General features: G+C 41.7%; 2 annotated features.

Moving 5' to 3' along the window:
- Positions 4,223-4,361: a silencer, noted in NCBI's record as "fragment chr6:137382319-137382457 (GRCh37/hg19 assembly coordinates)". NCBI's record gives its function as "represses an EF-1alpha promoter that drives an FKBP-Casp9 reporter gene in an ReSE screen in K562 erythroleukemia cells {active_cell/tissue: K562}" and the evidence as "EXISTENCE:reporter gene assay evidence [ECO:0000049][PMID:32094911]".
- Positions 19,687-19,896: an enhancer, noted in NCBI's record as "active region_25128". NCBI's record gives its function as "activates an Ori minimal core promoter by ATAC-STARR-seq in GM12878 lymphoblastoid cells {active_cell/tissue: GM12878}" and the evidence as "EXISTENCE:reporter gene assay evidence [ECO:0000049][PMID:35858748]".

Below are 20,107 nucleotides of genomic sequence, written 5' to 3' on the forward strand. Positions count from 1 at the left end.
ATGATATGTGAATTACAGCTCCATAAAGCATTGCCAAAAAATTACACTGAGAAAATGGATGCGAATCCATCATAACAAAACAGCGTTTATTCAACAAATGTAAAGTTGTTTTAACATTAGAAAAATCAGTAGTTGTAATTCACTACAAATACAAATAAAGGAGAAAAATCAGATGTCTATTTAAATAGGACAAAACAAAAAAAAAATCTGGCAACTTCTGAATAGAAGTCAACTTCCTTCATCTAATAATGAAGATCTTAATGCTTCATGAGCATATACTTAATGATGACATACTGAAAGTATCTCCTTAAGGTCAGGAATAAACCAAGTGTGTCTCCTGTCATTCCTTCTGAATTCAATATTATGCTGGATGTCCCAGCCATTATGGCAGGGAAGAAAAAGAAAGAAAGTCATAAGAATTAGAAATGATGATAAAATTGTTATCTTTCATAGATAATATGATTATATGCACAGACAGTGGAAAAGTATCTCTGGGTAATTTACAAATATGAATGTGAGAGTTTATAGGATTCTATTCATGCATTCAATGTCCTCAAAGCAATTGCACGCCAATAATACATAGTTAAAATGAAATAAAAGTACTATTTTGTAATAACGTGAAAAATATCTAAGACATACAAGATCTTTATAGGAAAATGTATGAACTTTCATTGAGTGACTTTGAAGAAGGCCTTTTTAAATGGAGGGATATGGATTGTGGTTATGGACTGAGGACTCAATATCTCTCAAAATTAGGTTACAGATGTAATACGATTCCAACAACATTGTAACAGATTTTTATGAAACTTGACAAAGTGATTATAAAATTTGAGTGGAATTGCAAAGGTCTAAAAATAATCAAGGCGTTTTTGAAAAAGTTTAGAGAGGGAGAGTTTCCCTTACACATAACAAGACTTATAAAATTACCTTCAGACATTGTGGTAGACAAAAAGATCTATGAAACAGTATATAGAGTCCCAAATTTAGGGACATTTGATAAGTGAAAGGGACATTTCAGATTAGTGGGGAAAGGACAGGATTTTCAGTGAGTGGTTCTGGGAAAACTGGGTATGTACTTTATTTTACATCACCTTCAAAATAATTTAAGTAAATTAAAGAGCTGTTGTGGGTTGAATGATGTCCCCCCAAATTCAAATGTTGAAGTCGTAACCCCCAGTACCTCAGAATATGACCTTATTCAGAAATAAGGTTATTGCAGATGTAATCAGTGAAGTTAGGATGAGGTCATACTGGAGTAGGGTGGGCCCTTCATCCAAATGACTGTGTCCTTATAATCAGGGGAAATCTGGATACAGACACATGCATAGGGACAATGTCACATGAACATAAAAGCAGAGATGGGGCGATGTGTCTGTAAGCTAAGGAACACCAGAGACTCCTGATAAACCACCAGAAGCCAGGAGAGAGAGAGAGACACGGAACAGATTTTTTCTCATAGGCCTCAGAAGGAACCAATTCTGCCAAAACCTTGATTTCAGACTTGTAGCCCCTCAAAACGTCAGACACTTTCTGTTATTTAAGCCACTCAGTTTGTGGTACTTTGTTATTACGGCCCTAACAAGCCAATATAAGAGCTAAATGCGAAGGAAGATTTTCAAAGACCAGATAGTAGAACATCTATATGACCCTGGGGTCAGAGAGTGTTTCTTAGACATAAAAAGTCTAGCCATAAATCAGAAGATTGACAGTCTGATTACATTAACATAAAGAATTTCTGCCATGAAAAGACACTAAAAGAGAGAAGAGACAAACTGCAAACTGGAAGAATATATATGCATCATATATAACATATATTATGCAGAACACTACGCTTTATATATACATATACTCTGGATATTAGGTAATTTTCACTTAATCTCAAAGAAGTTTTTTTAACTCAAGGATTTGTAATGTTGTTTCATCATTTCTTTTCTATTTTCAGGTTGAGAACTACTATGGAAACATTACTGCTGACAACAGAAACAATGGCTTCTAGGAGGGTTTATAAATAGTTGCAGAAGTTACTTCAGTCAGTACCATAAAAAATGATGGTCATAAAGAAGATGAAAATCCTTGCAAGTGTTGAATGACCTTGGCATTCACGATCACTGAAAAAATTCTCAATGCAACAACTGTTGATAATAATTCAGCTGGTGGTTGTACCTGCCAGGGATGCTAATTAGCTAGAGTATGTGAAAAGAAACTAAAGATTCCTCTTTTGTGGTATGGAAAAACAAAGCACAATATTAACAGTTTGCTTTAGTTCAAATCCAGAGGTAGTCTGGTTTCACCTCAGATGTAGCATAGTTCTCTTTTCTGGGTAATTTAAGGAATTAAGGCCTGAAGAGTTTTGAAAATGCTAGGTTAGCACACGGGTTATTTGGGGGCTTTTAATTTTAAAATAGGGCCTAGAAGAACCAAGATAATCTTGAAGAAGAAAAGTAAGTTTGGACCAGCCTGGGCAACACGGCAAAAACCTGTCTCTACTAAAAACATAAAAATTACCCGGGCATGGTGGCGTGTGCCTGTAATCTCAGCTACTCAGGAGGCTGAGGTGGGAGAATCACCTGAGCCCAGGAGTCAGAGGTTGCAGTGAACCAAGATCGTGCCACTGCACTCCAGCCTGGGTGACACAGCAAGACCCTGTCTCAAAAAAAAAAAAAGAAAAAAAAAAAAGAAAAAATAAGATTGGGCAACTTACATCAAGATATCAAAATTTATTATAAAGCTACAGATTAGTAAATTAGATTTCATTAGAATTAACAACTGTTGATTACCAAAACACACCATTAAGAGAGTGAAAGAGTAGAGGTCAGAAGATACTTGCAATACATATGTATGTCAAAAGAAAGCAGATAATATACCTCTTACAAATCAGCAAGAAAAAGATACACCAATCCACTATAAAAATGGGCAAAACTTTGAACAGATACTTTACAAAAGAAGATATCAAAATAGAAAACAGGCCTCTCTACATCACTGGTCATCAGGGAAATGTAAGTTAAAACCACAAGGAGATACTAATACACTCCCGTTTTGATGGTTAAACAATACCAAGTGCTGGTGAGACATTGGAACATCTAGAACATTCTTACATTGCTGGTGTTAAATTGGTTAAACTGGTTAAATCAGAAAACAAATGATTTTCCAGATGGAGCCAGCATAATGGGCAAGCAATCTGTACAGTCGCTCAGGGTCCCAAACTCCGAAGAGCTTTGTTTGTGGTTTAATGCTTACCTATCCATGTCTTGAAACTCTTAATAATTTTATTTTTAAACTTGTTTTTGTAATATTATGAGAATGTGGAGTTTCACTTGCATCCGTGTGAAGAGACCACCAATGTGAAAAGACCACCAAACAGGCTTTTTGTGAGCAATAAAGCTTTTAATCACCTGGGTACAGGCGGGCTGAGTCCGAAAAGAGAGTCAGCGAAGGGAGATAAGGGTGGGGCTGTTTTATAAGATTTGGGTAGGTAAAGGAAAATTACAGTCAAAGGGGGGTTGTTCTCTGGCAGGCAGGAGTGGGGGTCACAAGGTGCTCAGTAGGGGAACTTTTGAGCTGGGATGAGCCAGGAGAAGGAATTTCACAAGATAATGTAATCAGTTAAGGCAGGAACAGGCCATTTTCATTTCTTTTGTGGTGGAATGTCATCAGTTAAGGCAGGAGCTGGCCATCTGGATGTGTACGTGCAGGTCGCAGGGGATATGATGGCTTAGCTTGGGCTCAGAGGCCTGACATTCCTGTCTTCTTATATTAATAAGAAAAATAAAATGAAATAGTGGTAAAGTGTTGAGACGGCGAAAATTTGGGGGGATGGTATGGAGAGAGAATGGGCAATGTTTCTCAAGGCTGCTTCAAACGGGATTGGGGTGGTGTGGGAACCTAGAGTGGGAGAGATTAAGCTGAAGGAAGATTTTGTGGTAAGAGGTGATATTGTGGGACTGTTAGAAGAAACATTTGTCATTTAGAATTATTGGTGATGGCCTGGATACGGTTTTGTGTGAATTGAAAAACTAAATGGAATAAGAGGAGAAAAACAGGTATTAAAGGTCTGAGAATTGGGAGGACCCAGGATATCTAATTAGAGAGTGCTTAAGGAGATTCAGCATAGTCCTGCCAGCAAAGATTATTTATTTACTTTAAGAGTTGGCCGGGCGTGGTGGCTTACGCCTGTAATCCCAGCACTTTGGGAGGCCGAGGCGGGTGGATCATGAGGTCAGGAGATCGAGACCATCCTGGCTAACAAGGTGAAACCCCGTCTCTACTAAAAATACAAAAAATTAGCTGGGCGCGGTGGCGGGCGCCTGTAGTCCCAGCTACTCGGGAGGCTGAGGCAGAATGGCGTGAACCCGGGAAGCGGAGCTTGCAGTGAGCCGAGATTGCGCCACTGCAGTCCGCAGTCCAGCCTGGGCGACAGAGCGAGACTCCGTCTCAAAAAAAAAAAAAAAAAAAAAAAAAAAAAAAAAAAAGTTAAGAGTGGCTGTTTGGGGATAGCACCAGGAGATATCAGCTGTGATGGCTTGAAGAAACAGTGTAAACCAGCAGTGTAAACAAGAGCAGGGCATGTATGAGTAGTTGAGAACGGTGAATAGGAGTATGACTAGACAGAAGATAGTAGGGATGACAAGTTTTCTGGGGCACAGTCCAAGTTGGTCTGGTGTCTGGAATGAGACTGGGGCTTAATAAAAAGGAGCGTCCATACAGGAGCTCAAATGGGCTGTACCCTGTAGCATTCTGAGGACAGGCCTGAATTCTGAGAAGGGAAAGTGGTAAAAGTATTGTCCAGTCCTTTCTAAGTTGGTGGCTGAGCTTGGTGAGGTGTGTTTTTAAAAGACCATTAGTCCGTTCTACTTTCCTGAAGACCGAGGACCATAAGGGATATAAAGGTTTCACTGAATACCAAGAGCCTGAAAAACTGCTTGGCTGATTTGACTAATAAAGGCTGGTCTGCTATCGGACTGTATAGAGGTGGGAAGGCCAAACCGAGGAATTATGTCTGAGAGAAGGGAAGAAATGACAGCGGTGGCCTTCTCAGACCCTGTAGGAAAGGCCTACCCATCCAGTGAAAGCGTCTACCCAGACTAAGAGGTATTTTAGTTTCCTGACTCGGGGCATGTGAGTAAAGTCAATTTGCCAGTCCTGGGCAGGGGCAAATCCCCGAGCTTGATGTGTAGGAAAGGGAGGAGGCCTGAACAATTCCTGAGGGGTAGTAGAATAGCAAATGGAACACTGAGAAGTGATTTCCTTGAGGATGTACTTATAGGATGGAAAGGAAATGAGAGGTTCCAAGAGATGGGCTAGCAGCTTGTAACTTACATGGAAGAGGTTATGAAATGATGACAGAATAGAATGGGCCTGTGAGGCTGGAAGGAGATATTTTTCTTGGTCTAAGAACCATTTGCCTTGTGTGGGAAGAGATTGATAGGTGGAAGTTTCAGCGGGGGAGTAGGTGAGAGTGACTGATATGAAGGAGAAAAACTGAAAGTGAGGGATATAAGTTGGAATGCTAGCTGCTTTTTTAGCTATCTTATCAGCATAAGCATTGTCCTGAGTGCTGGGATCTGATGCCCTTTGATGGCCTTTGCAGTGAATGACCCTAGCTTCCTTTGGAAGTAAAGCAGCTTTGAGAAGCATTTTTATTAAAGAGGCATTAATGATAGAGGACCGTGGTGTAGTGAGGAAACCTCTTGCATGGTGGTGCAGGATATGGAAGGCATATTTAGAGTCAGTATAAATATTGACGTTTAGTCCTTTTGCAAGAGTGAGGGCTTGACTTAAGGCAATGAGTTCGGCTTGCTGAGAGGTAGTGGAGGGAGACAGAGCAGTAGCCTCAATGATAGATGTGGAAGATACTATAGCATAGCCTGCCTTTGCTGGTGAGTGGCGATTAGGCCTGGTGGAACTGCCATCAATAAACCAAGTGTGTTCAGGGTAAGGAACATGAAAGAATATGGGGAAATGGAGTGAATGTCAGGTGGATCAGAGAGATACAGTCATGGGGGTCAGGTGTGGTATCAGGAATAATGTGGGAGGCCGGATTGAAGTCGGCCAGGAACAGTGGTAATTGTGGGAGACTCAACAAAGAGTGAGTACAGCTGAAGGAGCCTGGGAGCAGACAGTATATGTGTCAGGTGTGAGGAAGTAAATAGATTTTGAAAGTTATGAGAACTGTAGAGAGTCAGTTGAGGATAGTTTGTGATTTTAAGGGCCTCTAAAAGTGTTAGAGCAGTGGCAGCTGCCACATGCAGACTTGAGGGCTGGGCAAAACAGTAAGGTCAAGTTGTTTAGATAAAAAGTCTACAGGGTGTGGTCGTGGTCCTTGTGTAAGAATTCTGACTGCACAGCCCTGCACTTCGGCTATGGGTAATGAAAAGGGTTGGGGTGAGTCAGGGAGAGCGAGGGTGGGGGCAGTCTCTAAAGCTGTCTTCAAGGAACAGAAAGAGGAGTGGGGAAAGGATTTAGGATCTATGGGGTCAACTAGGTTTCCTTTTGTGAGTTTATATAATGGTTTTGTTAGGACGGCAAAACCAGATATCTAAAGTCGACAGTATCTAACCATGCCCAGGAAGGAAAGGAGTTGTTATTTTGTAGAAGAGATTGAGGATTGGGAGATTAGTTGGACACGATCAGCAGGGAGAGCACATGTGTTTTATGAGAATTATGCCGAGAGAGGTAACAGATGAGGATGAAATTTGGGCTTGACTGAAGTAATGGGGGCTATCTGTGAAGTCTTGCGGCAGTACAGCCCAGGTAATTTGCTGAGCCTGATGGGTGTCAGGGTCAGTCTAAGTGAAAGCGAAGAGAGGCTGGGATGAAGGGTGCAAAGGAATAGTAAAGAAAGCATGTTTGAGATCCAGAACAGAACAGAATAATAGGTTGTGGAGGGAGGTATTGAGGATAGGAGAGTATATGGGTTTGGCACCATGGGGTGGATAGGCAAAACAATTTGGTTGATAAGGCTCAGATCCTGAACTAACCTGTAAGGCTTCTCTGGTTCTAGGACAGGTGAAATGGGGGAATTGTAAGGAGAGTTTATAGGCTTTAAAAGGCCATGCTGTAGCAGGCGAGTGATAACAGGCTTTAATCTTTTTAAAGCGTGCTGCGGGATGGGATATAGGCATTGAGTGGAGTAAGGGTGATTAGGTTTTAATGAGATGATAAGGGGTGCATGATCGGTAGCCAAGGAGGGAGTAGAAGTATCCCACACTTGTGGGTTAAGGTGGGGGGATACAAGAAGAGGACGCAAAGGAGGTTTTGGATTGGGAAGAAGGGCGGCAATGAGATGTGGCTATAGTCCAGGAATAGTCAGGGAAGCAGATAATTTAGTTAAAGTGTCTCAGCCTAATAAGGGAACTGGGCAGGTGGGGATAACTAAAAAGGAGGGCTTAAAAAAGTATTGTCTAAGTTGGCACCAGAGTTGGGGAGTTTTAAGAGGTTTAGAAGCCTGGCCATCAATACCTACAGCAGTTACAGAGGTAAGGGAAACAGGCCCTTGAAAAGAAGGCAATGTGGAGTGGGTAGCCTCCGTATTGATTAAGAAGGGGACGGACTTACCCTCCACTGTGAGTGTTACCCAGAGCATCTGTGATGGTTCTGTAGGCTTCCAAGGCAATCGGGCAGTGTCAGTCTTCAGCTGCTAAGCCGAGAAGATCTGGGAAGGAGTCAGTCAGAGAGCCTTGGGCCAGAGTTCCAGGGTCTCTGGGAGTGGCTGCCAGGTGAGTTGAACAGTCTGATTTTCAGTGGGGTCCCGCACAGATGGGATGCAGCTTAGGAGGAATCCTGGGCTGTGGGCATTCCTTGGCCCAGTGGCCAGATTTCTGGCACTTGTAGCAAGCTCCTGGGGGAGGAGATTCTGGAGGAACCCCTGGCAGCTGCGGTTCGGGCATTTGGAGTTCTTGTGTGCTGGAGATGTGGCTGGGGTTTGTCTCATAGTGGAGGCAAGGAATTGCAACTCAGAAATACATTGCTACTTGGCTGCCTCTACTCTATTATTGTACACCTTGAAGGTGAGATTAAGTCTTGTTGTGGGGTTTGAGGGCCAGAATTTAATTTTTGGAGTTTTATTTAATGTCAGGAGTAGATTGGGTAATAAAATGTATATTGAGAATAAGACGGCCTTTTGACCTTTTAGGGTCCAGGACTGTAAAGCGTCTCAGGGTTGCTGCCAAATGAGCCGTGAACTGGGCTGGGTTTTTCATATTTGATGAAAGAGCCTAAACGCTAACTGATTTGGGAGAGGTCTGATAAAGAAAAAGGAGCATTAACCTTGACTATGCCTTTAGCTTCAGCCACCTTTTTAAGAGGAAATTGCTGGGCAGGTGGGGGAGGGCTAGTCTCAGAACAAAACTGTAAGCTGGACCGGGTGTGAGGAGGGGAGGTGATAAAAGGATTATAGGGATGGGGAGCAGAGGCTGAGGAAGAATTGTGAGGAGCAGCCTGGGGAGGAGGGGAGAGGTCAGATGGGTCTGTAGAAAAGGAAGATTAGAAAGACTCAGCAATGCTTGGAGTTGGGACTGAGAGAACAAACAGGAGGGAAAGAAGGAAGATTTGGGACCAGTCACATTGGGAACAGAGAGTAGGGAGGGAACAATATGTAAAAGAATGCTTGGACATCAGGCACCTCAGACCGTTTGCCCATTTTATGAATGCCCATTTTACGACAAGAATTATCTAGATCTTGTAGGATGGAAAAATCAAAAGTGCCATTTTCTGGCTGTTTGGAACCACTGTCGAGTTTATATTGGGGTCAAGCAGCATTGCAGAAGAAAATAAGTCATTTAGGTTTTAGGTCAGGTGTGAGTTGAAGAGGTTTTAAGTTCTTGAGAACACAGGCTAAGGGAGAAGAGGGAGGAATGGAGGGTGGAAGGTTGCCCATAGTGAAGGAGGCAAGCCCAGAAAAAAGAGAGAGTAGAGACATGGAGGGAAGGGGTTGGGGGGGGTTCTTGCCCTCCAGAAAAGCAGAGAAGGGGTAGAGACACGGAGAGAAGGGGTTGGGGGGGGGGGTTCTTGCTCTCCAGAAAAGCAGAGAAGGGTTAGAGACATGGAGAGAAGGGGTTGGGGGGTTCTTGCCTTCCAGAAAAGCAGAAAAGGGGTTGGGGCACAGAAATAAGGGGTTGGGGCTCAGAGATAAGAGGTGGGGGCACAGAAATAAGGGATCAGGGTGCAGAGATAAGAGGTCGGGGCACGGAAATAAGGGATTGGGGGGTTCTTGCCCCCCAGAAAAGCAGAGAAGCAGTAGAGACAGGGAGAGAAGGGGTCAGGGTTCTTGCCCCTCCCCCAGAAAAGCGGGACTTGCCGCTAAGGGTGAAGGACCAAGGCAGGCGTCCCTGCATGGTCAGACACCTCTGAAACGTGGTTTAATAATCAGAGAGGTGTCCCTGCAATGATTAAACACCAAGGGAAGGCTGCCTTCCTGAGTCCGTGACCGGCGCCAGAGTTTTGGGTCCATGGATAAAATGTGTCTCCTTTGTCTCTACCAGAAAATGAAAGGAATTGAAATTAAGAGAAGGGAGAGATTGAAGGGTGGCGACAAGATTGAAAGGAGAAAGTGGTTGAGGGATAGTGAGAGAGGTTGGAGAAGAGAGTAAGAAGAGGCCGCTTACCCGATTTAAAATTGGTGAGATGTTCCTTGGACTGGTGGGTCTGAGGACCCGAGGTCGTAGGTGGATCTTTTTCATGGAACAAAGAGCAGGAGGACAGGGGATTGATTTCCCAAGGGAGGTCCCCTGATCCGAATCACGGCACCAAATTTCACTTGCGTCCGTGTGAAGAGACCACCAAACAGGCTTTGTGTTTGGTGCAATAAAGCTTTTAATCACCTGGGTGCAGGTGGGCTGAGTCCTAAAAGAGAGTCAGCAAAGGGAGATAGGGGTGGGGCCGTTTTATAAGATTTGGGTAGGTAAAGGAAAATTACAGTCAAAGGGGGGTTGTTCTCTGGCAGGCAGGAGTGGGGGTACAAGGTGCTCAGTAAGGGAGCTTTTGAGCCAGGATGAGCCAGGAGAAGGAATTTCACAAGATAATGTTATCAGTTAAGGCAGGAACAGGCCATTTTCATTTCTTTCGTGGTGGAATGTCATCAGTTAAGGCAGGAGCTGGCCATCTGGATGTGTATGTGCAGGTCACAGGGGATATGATGGCTTAGCTTGGGCTCAGAGGCCTGACATGGAGCATGCCCAGAGGAGGTAAGGTCAATTTGTGTGTCTGCTGCTGTTCCTTGCTACATTCAGGTCTAGCATTCGCCATGCTCCATGAGCCTAGAATTTTAGTTGGAGCCAAGTATCTGGGAGTTCAATAAGACTCAAAGGAGTACATGGTAAGTGGGGGACTCTGAAAGCCAGGAGAGGCCTCATTTCCATTTGAACCAGAATTTGCTTTGAATGCAGAGAGAAGGCAATGCCATTTTAAACAACACACACGCAAAAAAACCAATGAATCCTGTCATAGCCTTTCTTACTCCCGTTACTTTCATGTATTAGCCACGTGGCTAGAAATGGCAGTAGAGATGGAAAAGGAAAGATAGGGCAACCTAGAGTTCTTTTTTCTTTTAGTTTTTCTTTTTCACCAATAAACTGAATGTAGAAAGTATTAGCATAATGTGCATGTTTAAAGAAGTGAAAGAAAAATATTTAACTTAGTTCTGTGTAGCATTTTCAAGAATGAAATGCTGATGCATGTACAAGCTAATGAATACAAATTACATAATTTAGTGATTCTGCATACAGGTTAAATGCTCTCATATCTGTATTTAAAACTGCCACTGGGTACAATACAAAATGAATGGTAAAATTCAAGCTAATGTTTAAACATTTTAATTTTTTTCTACTTAGAATGACATTAAATTGCAGATAAAAGAATACCATGACAAGTTGAGAGAGAGAGAGAAAGTGGAAAAAAGGAAAAAGCTTTACGTTTTCATATCTTTAATGACACTTTTCCCCCCACTTTTTAAATGAGTGACCTTACATTTTCATTTTGCACTGAGCTTTGCAAATTAGGTAAATGGCCCAGTTTATGAAACAGTAATTTTAATCCTAGATATATACTCAACAAAAATAAATGGTTATTTTCACCAAAAGACATGCACAAAAATGTTAATTACCCCAAGATTGATCCATAATAACCCCAAACAAGAAATAACCCAAAAGTTCATCGAAAGGATAAACTGTAGTATATTCATATAATGGAATACTAAACAGCAATGGAAATAAATGATTACTGCTATATAGAGCAAGATGAATGAATTTCACAGAAAGACAGCTGAGTAAAAGAACTCAGACACAAAAAGAATATATGCTATTGTGATTTCATTTGTAAGAAGTCCAAAATACAGGCTAAATAAATGTATCCTGATAGAAGTCAGAATAGTGGTTAAATTTAGGTAGATGGGGGAATGAAAGAGATTTCTGAGAAGCTGGGGATGGATTTTCTATGTCTTGATCTGGGTGGTGGTTAAACATATACATGTTAGAAATTAAACAAGCATACTCTTAAGAAATGTGTACATTATTGCATATCAGTTATCATAGCCTTGTCAGAAATTAAACAAGCATACTCTTAAGAGATGTGTACATTATTGCATATCAGTTATCATAGGCTTTCTTACTCCTGTTTCTTTCCTGTGTTAATCAGCCACATGTGCTAGAAATGGCAATAGAGATGGAAAAGGAAAGACAGGGCAACCCCAGAGTTCTTTTTTCTTTTAGTCCTTTGGTGCTTCTTGATGAGCAGAAATAAGAATGTAAGCTATACTTCAATAAGGAGGAAATACAAGGAAAAAAGGCATATCTTTCCCTTTTCTATTATCAAACACCTTAACGAATGTAAAACTTTCTAAGTGTGTGTGTGTGTCTGTGTACGTGTGCATGTGTGTAAAATGCCTTTACCACCAATTGGATGCTTGTAGTTGCATTGTTCCTGTTGAATGTTCTTAGAGTGGGGCCCTGAGTGGCTATTCTCACTCCGGACTAATGGTCTCTTTGCCTTTTCATGAAAATAAATTGTTTATAAATAGTGGCATTTTGTTATTTTACTACACTATTTTGAGTCTATGTTTCTAATTCAAAGATTGACCACAATTAACTTCATTTTTTTTGAGACATGGTCTCACTTTGTTGCTTAGGCTGGAGTGCAGTGGCACGATCTTGGCTCACTGCAACCTCTGCCTCCCAGACTCAGGCGATCAATCCTCCTACCTCAGCTTCCCAAGTAGCTGGGACTGCAGATACATGTCATCATGCCTGGCTAATTTTTGGGGGGAGTTTTTTGTAGAGACAGAGGTCTCATTGTGTTGCCCAGGCTGGTCTCAAACTCCTGAGCTCAAGCAATCTACCCACCTCAGCCTCCCAAAGTGTTGGGATTACAGGCATGAGCCACTGAGCCCAGCTAGATTGACCGTAATTAGCTTTTGTGACTTCTGTCTAAAATATGAAAGTTGAACTTAGGCTCAGAGCGTCTTTTCTTCTTTAACTAAAAATAGAATTAAAATTGCTTTCTGGTATAATTATTTTTCTTTTAACACTGATGATCTCAATTTAAAATTTTCTCTAGAACCTTGGTTCTGCATGAAAATTATCTTAATCATTTGCCTTTCTATTTGTGTGGAAGTTCTTCCTTGACATGATTATAATCTGATCTTTCACTTAATTCCAGTTTCTGCTCAAATGTTTTCAGAGAGACTTTGTATGACCACCCTCCAAAATAACACCAATCCCTCTGTCAAATTCTATGCTTTAATTAGTTTCATTTTTCTTCTTAGCGTTTACCTTGACCTGACATTATGGTATGTCTGTGTATGCGTGTGTGCATGTGCATATACATTTGCATATGTTATTGTTGGTCTTCCCCAATAAGAATGTAACTTCCAAGAGAGTTTTAGTGGCTGGTAAGATGGCCAAATAGGAACAGCTCTGGTCTGCAGCTCCCAGTGAGATCAATGCAGAAGGCGGGTGATTTCTGCATTTCCAACTGAGGCACATGGCTCATCTCATTGGGACTGGTTAAGACAGTGGGTGCAGCTCACGGAGGGTGAGCTGAAACAGGGTGGGGCGTCGCCTCACCTGGGAAGCACAAGGGGTCGGGGAACTACCTCCCCTAGCCAAGGGAAGCCATGAGAAACTGTGCTATGAGGGATGGTGCTATCTAGCCTAGATACTACACTTTTCCCGTGGTCTTCACAACCTGCAGACCAGGAGATTCCCTTAGTGCCTATACCACTAGGGCCCTGGGTTTCAAGCACAAAACTGCGCAGCCATTTGGGCAGACACCAAGCTAGCTGCAGGAATTTTTTCTCATACCCCAGTGGCACCTGGAACGCCAGTGAGACAGAACCATTTACTCCCCTGGAAAGGGGGCTTAAGCCACGGAGCCAAGTGGTCTGGCTCAGTGAATCCCATCCCCATGGAGCCCAGCAAGCTAAGATCCGCTGGCTTGAAATTCTTGCTGCCACCACAGCAGTCTCAAGGCAACCTGGGATGCTCCAGCTTGGTCGGGGGAGGAGTGTCTGCCATTACTGAGGCTTGTGTATGTGGTTTTCCCCTCACAGTGTAAACAAAGCTGCCAGGAAGTTTGAACTGGGCAGAGCCCACCACAGCTCGGCAAAGCCTTTGTAGCCAGACTGCCTCTTTAGATTCCTTCTCTCTGGGCAGGGCATCTCTGAAAGAAAGGCAGCAGCCACAGTCAAGGGCTTATAGATAAAACTCCCGTCTCCTGGGACAGAGCACCTGAGGGAAAGGGTGGCTGTGGGTGCAGCTTCAGCAGATTTAAATGTTCCTGCCTGCCAGCTCTGAAGAGAGCAGTGGATCTCCCAGCATGGTGCTTGAGCTCTGCTAAGGGACAGACTGCCTCAAGTAGGTCCCTGACCCCTGTGCCTCCTGACTGGGAGACACCTCCCAGCAGGGGTCAACAGACACCTCATATAGGAGAGCTCTGGCTGGCATCTGGTGGGTGCCCCTCTGAGACAAAGCTTCCAGAGGAAGAAACAGACAGCAATATTTGCTGTTCTGCAGCCTCCACTGGTGATAGCCAGGCAAAGAGGGTCTGGAGTGGACTTCCAACGAACTCCAGAAGACCTGCAGCAGAAGGGCCTGACTGTTAGAAGGAAAACTAATAAACATAAAGGAATAGCATCAACATCAACAAAAGGAGGTCCACATGAAAACCCCATCCGAAGGTCACCAACATCAAAGACCAAAGGTAGATAAATCCACGAAGATGAGGAAAAAGCCAGTGCAAAAAGGCTGAAAATTCCAAAAACCAGAATGCCTCTTCTCCTCCAAAGGATCACAACTCCTTGTCAGCAAGGGAACAAAACTAGATGGAGAATGAGTTTGAAGAATTGACAGAAGTAGGATTCAGAAGGTGGGTAATAACAAACTCCTCCGAGCTAAAGGAGCATGTTCTAACACAATGCAAGGAAGCTAAGAACCTTGAATAAAAGTTAGAGGAATAACAAACTAGAATAACCAGTTTCGAGAAGAACATAAATGACCTGATGGAGCTGAAAAACACAGCATGAAAACCTCGTGAAGCGTACACAAGTATCAATAGCCAAATCGATCAAGTGGAAGAAAGGATATCAGAGATTGAAGATCAACTTAATGAAATAAAGCATGAAGACAAGATTAGAGAAAAAAGAATGAACAGGAAGGAATAAAGCTTCCAAGAAATATGGAACTATGTGAAAAGACCAAACCTACGTTTGATTGGTGTACCTGAAAGTGACGAGGAGAATGGAACCAAGTTGGAAAACAATCTTCAGGATACTATCCGGGAGAACTTCCCCAACCTAGCAAGACAGTCCAACATTCAAATTCAAGACATACAGAGAACATCACAAAGATACTCCTCAAGAAGAGCAGCCCCAAGACACATAATCTTCAGATTCATCAAGGTTGAAATGAAGGAAAAAGTGTTAAGGGCAGCCAGAGAGAAAGGTCAGGTTACCACAAAGGGAAGCCCATCAGACTAACAGCGGATCTCTCTGCAGAAACCCTACAAGCCAGAAGACAGTGGGGGCCAATATTCAATATTCTTAAAAGAATTTTCAATCCAAAATTTCATATCCAGCCAAACTAAGCTTCATAAGCAAAGGATAAATAAAATCCTTTACAGACAAGCAAATGCTGAGAGATTTTTGTCTCCACCAGGTCTGGCTTATGAGAGTTCCCAAAGGAAGCACTAAATATGGGAAGGAAAAACCAGTACCAGCCACTGCAAAAACATATCAAATTGTAAAGACCATTGACACTACGAAGAAACTGCATCACCTAATGGGGGAAATAACCAGCTAGCATCATAATGACAGGATCAAATTCACACATAACAATATTAACCTTAAATGTAAATGGGCTAAATGCCCAAATTAAAAGACACAGACTGGCAAATTGGATGAAGAGTCAAGACCCATCAGTGTGCTGTATTCAGGAAACTCATCAAATGTGCAAAGACACACATAGGCTCAAAATAAAGGATGGAGGAATATTTACTAAGCAAACGGAAAGCAAAAACAAAAACAAAAACAAAAAAAGCAGGGGTTGCAATCCTAGTGTCTGATAAAACAGACTTTAAACCAACAAAGATAAAAAATGACACAGAAGGGCATTACACAATTGTAAAGGGATCAATGCAACAAGAAGAGCTAACTATTCTTAATATATATGCATCCAACACAGTAGCACCCAGATTCATAAAGCAAGTTCTTCGAGACTTACAAAGAGACTTAGACTCCCACACAATAATAGTGGGAGACTTTAACACCCCACTGTCAATATTAGACAGATCAATGAGACTGAAAATTAACAGGGATATTCAGGACTTGAACTCAGCTCTGGACCAAGTGGATCTAATAGACATCTACAGAACTCTCTACCCCAAATCAACAGAATATATGTTCTTCTCAGCACCACATTGCACTTATTCTAAAATCAACCACATAAGTGGAAGTAAAACACTCCTTAGCAAATACAAAAGAACAGAATCTCTCAGTCCACAGTGCAATCAAATTAGAACTCAGGATTAAGAAACTCACTCAAAACAGCACAACTACATGGGAACTGAACAACCTGCTCCTGAATGACTACTAGGTAAATAATAAAATTAAGGCAGAAATAAATAAATAAGTTCTTTGAAACCAATGGGAACAAAGACACAACCTACCAGAATCTCTGGGACACAGCTAAAGCAGTGTTTAGAGGGAAATTTATAGCACTGAATGCCCACAGGAGAAAGCGGGAAAGATCTAAAATTGACACTGTAACATAACAATGAAAAGAACTACAGAAGCAAGAGCAAACACATTCAAAAGCTGGCAGAAGACAAGAAATAACTAAGATCAGAGCAGAACTGAAGGAGATAGAGATATGAAAAACCCTTCAAAAAATCAATGAATCCAGGAGCTGGTTTTTTGAAAAGATTAAGAAAATAGATAGACCCACTAGCCAGACTAATAAAGAAGAAAAGAGAGAAGAATCAAATAGACACAATAAAAAATGATAACGGGGATATCACTGCTGATCCCACAGAAATACAAACTTCCATCAGAGAATACTATAAACACCTCTACACAAATAAACTAGAAAATCTAGAAGAAATGGATAAATTCCTGGACACATACAGCCTCCCAAGACTAAACCAGGAAGAAGTCGAATCCCTGAATAGATCAATAACAAGTTCTGAAAGTGAGGCAGCAATTAATAGACTACCAACCAAAAAAAGCCCAGGACCAGATGGATTCGCAGCCAAATTCTACCAGAGGTACAAAGAGGAGCTGGTACCATTCTTTCTGAAACTATTCCAAATAATAAAAAAAGAGAGAATCCTCCCTAACTCATTTTATAAGGCCAGCATCATCCTGATACCAAAACCTGGCAGAGACACAACAAAAAAAGAAAATTTTAGGCCAACATCCCTGATGAACATTGATGCAAAAATCCTTAATAAAATACTGGCAAACCGAATCCAGCAGCACATCAAAAAGCTTCTCCACCAAGATCAAGTCGGCTTCATCCCTGGGATGCAAGGCTGGTTCAACATACACAAATCAATAAACATAATCCATCACATAAACAGAAACAATGACAAAAAACCCACATGATTATCTCAATAGATTCGGAAAAGGCCTTTGATAAAATTCAACACCCCTTCATACTAAACATTCTCAATAAACTAGGTATTGATGGAACGTATCTCAAAATAATAAGAGCTATTTATGACAAACCTGCAGCCAATATCATACTGAATGGGCAAAAGCTGGAAGCATTCCCTTTGAAAACTGGCACAAGACAAGGATGCCCTCCCTCACCACTCCTATTCAACATAGTATTGCAAGTTCTGGCCAGGGCAATCAGGCAAGAGAAAGAAATAACAGGTATTCAAATAGGAAGAGAGGAAGTCAAATTGTCTCTGTTTGCAGATGACATGACTGTATATTTAGAAAACCCCATCATCTCAGCCCAAACTCTCCTTAAGGTGATAAGCCACTTCAGCAAAGTCTTAGGATACAAAATCAATGTGCAAAAATCACAGGCATTCCTATACACCAATAATAGACAAATGGAGAGCCAAATCATCAGTGAACTCCCATTCACAATTGCTACAAAGAGAATAAAATACCTAGGAATCAACTTACAAGGGACATGAAGGACCTCTTCAAGGAGAACTACAAACCACTGCTCAAGGAAATAAGAGAGGACACAAACAAATGGAAAAACAATCCATGCTCATGGATAGGAAGAATCAATATTGTGAAAATGGCCATACCACCCAAAGTAATTTATAGATTCAATGCTATCCCAATCAAGCTACCATTGACTTTCTTCACAGAATTAGAAAAAACTACTTTAAGTTTCATATGGAACCAAAAAATAGCCCCTATAGTCAAGACAATCTTAAGCAAAAATAACAAAGCTGGAGGCATCACGCTACCTGACTTTAAACTATACTACAAGTCTACAGTAACCAAAACAGCATGGTACTGGTACCAAAACAGATATATAGACCAATGGAACAGAACAGAGGCCTCAGAAATAGTGTCACACATCTACAACCATCTGATCTTTGACAAACCTGACAAAAACAAGCAATGGGGAAAGGATTCCCTATTTAATAAATGGTGTTGGGAAAACTGGCTAGCCATATGCAGAAAACTGAAACTGGACTCCTTCCTTACACTTTATATAAAAATTAACTCAAGATGGATTAAAGACTTAAACATAAGACCTAAAGCCATAAAAACCCTAGAAGAAAACCGAGCTAATTCCATTCAGGACATAGGCATGGACAAAGACTTCATGACTAAAACACCAAAAGCAATGGCAACAAAAGCCAAAATTGACAAATGGGATCTAATTAAACTAAAGAGCTTCTGCACCACAAAAGAAAGTATCATCAGAGTGGACAGGCAACCTACAGAGTGGGAGAAAATTTTTGCAATCTATTCATCTGACAAAGGGCTAATATCCAGAATCTACAAGGAACTTAAATTTACAAGAAAAAAACAACCCCACCAAAAAGTGGGCTAAGGATATGAACAGGCACTTCTCAAAAGAAGACATTTATGTGGCTTCAACATTTATGTTGAACAAACATGAAAAAAACCTCATCATCACTGGTCATTAGAGAAATGCAAATCAAAATCACAATGAGATACCATCTCATGCCAGTTATAATGGCAATTATTAAAAAGTCAGGAAACAACAGATGCTGGAGAGGATGTGGAGAAATAGGAACGCTTTTACCCTGTTGGTGGGAGTGTAAATTGGTTCAACCATTGTGGAAGACAGTGTGGTGATTCCTCAAGGATCTAGAACCAGAAATACCATTTGACCTAGCAATCCCATTACTGGGTATATACCCAAAGGATTATAAATCATTCTAGTATAAAGACACATGCACACGTATGTTTATTGCAGTACTGTTCACAATAGCAAAGACTTGGAACCAACCCACATGCCCATCAATGATAGACTGGATAAAGAAAATGTGGCACATATACACCATGGAATACTACGCAGCCATAAAAAAGGATGAGTTCATGTCCTTTGCAGGGACATGGATGAAGCTGGAAACCATCATTCTTAGCAAACTAACACAGGAACAGAAAACCAAACGCTGCATGTTCTCACTCATAATTGGGAGTTGAACAATAAGTACACATGGACACAGGGAGGGGAATATCACACACCAGGACCTGCTGGGGGTTGGGGGGCTAGAGGAGGGATAACATTAGGAGAAATACCTAATGTAGATGAGGGGTTGATGGGTGCAGCAAACCACCACGGCATGTGTATACCTATGGAACAAATCTGCACTGTCTGCACATGTATCCCAGAACTTAAAGTATGATAATTAAAAAAAAGAACTTCTGTTTTATTAACTGCTTGGCACCTAGTAGGTACACAGTAAACATTTGTTGACTGAATAACAAACTTTATTCTGAAAAACTAGAAAAAAAGGAATTTTGGAATTTTATATTTTATCAACTGTTGAACATGAACATTTATTAAATTTTATGATGCAATTTAAAACACAGTAACTCTAGCAAGAGATAGGTGCTTATCCTGAAAGTAAAAAGTGTAGCAGAGAATATGGAAGGATAAATATTATTGGTAGAACCTGGTCTGCAATTAGAATTTTCCTGGAGTTTCACAGGGTTCTCCAGCTTGAAAGGACAAAAAGCAGAAGTTGGGATCTGGAGCATAGTGGGCTCCACCCTCAGCCATCTCTGTGCCCAGCACATTGGAGATGCAGCCAGCTAGCCACTGGGTGTCACTGTTCTCTCATGCTCCTCAGTCTGGGTGTCCTGCCAGGTCTCCTTAAGCATGAATATGCAATGTCCTGGTTTACAGCCATGACAGAGGGCACAGACTCACCTGTACAGGCCTTCTCAATATGGAATCACATACTGTTCCTACATAAAATTGATTTTCGGTTCTGAGCAGCACAGAAAGGTTTGAAGAGATGAGTGGTCTCAAGTGCGGCTCTTAGCTTTAGTCTCAGCCCTAAAACGGCGCTCAGGAGTAGGAACACAGCTGCCAGGACATTTCCCTGTCACTCAAGAGCTGATAGGCTTTTTTTCAGGTCCAGACCTACAGGCAAGGACTGGAAATCATTT

The sequence above is a fragment of the Homo sapiens genome, chromosome 6 (genome assembly GCF_000001405.40).
Source record: "Homo sapiens chromosome 6, GRCh38.p14 Primary Assembly".
Taxonomy (NCBI): Eukaryota; Metazoa; Chordata; class Mammalia; order Primates; family Hominidae; genus Homo; species Homo sapiens.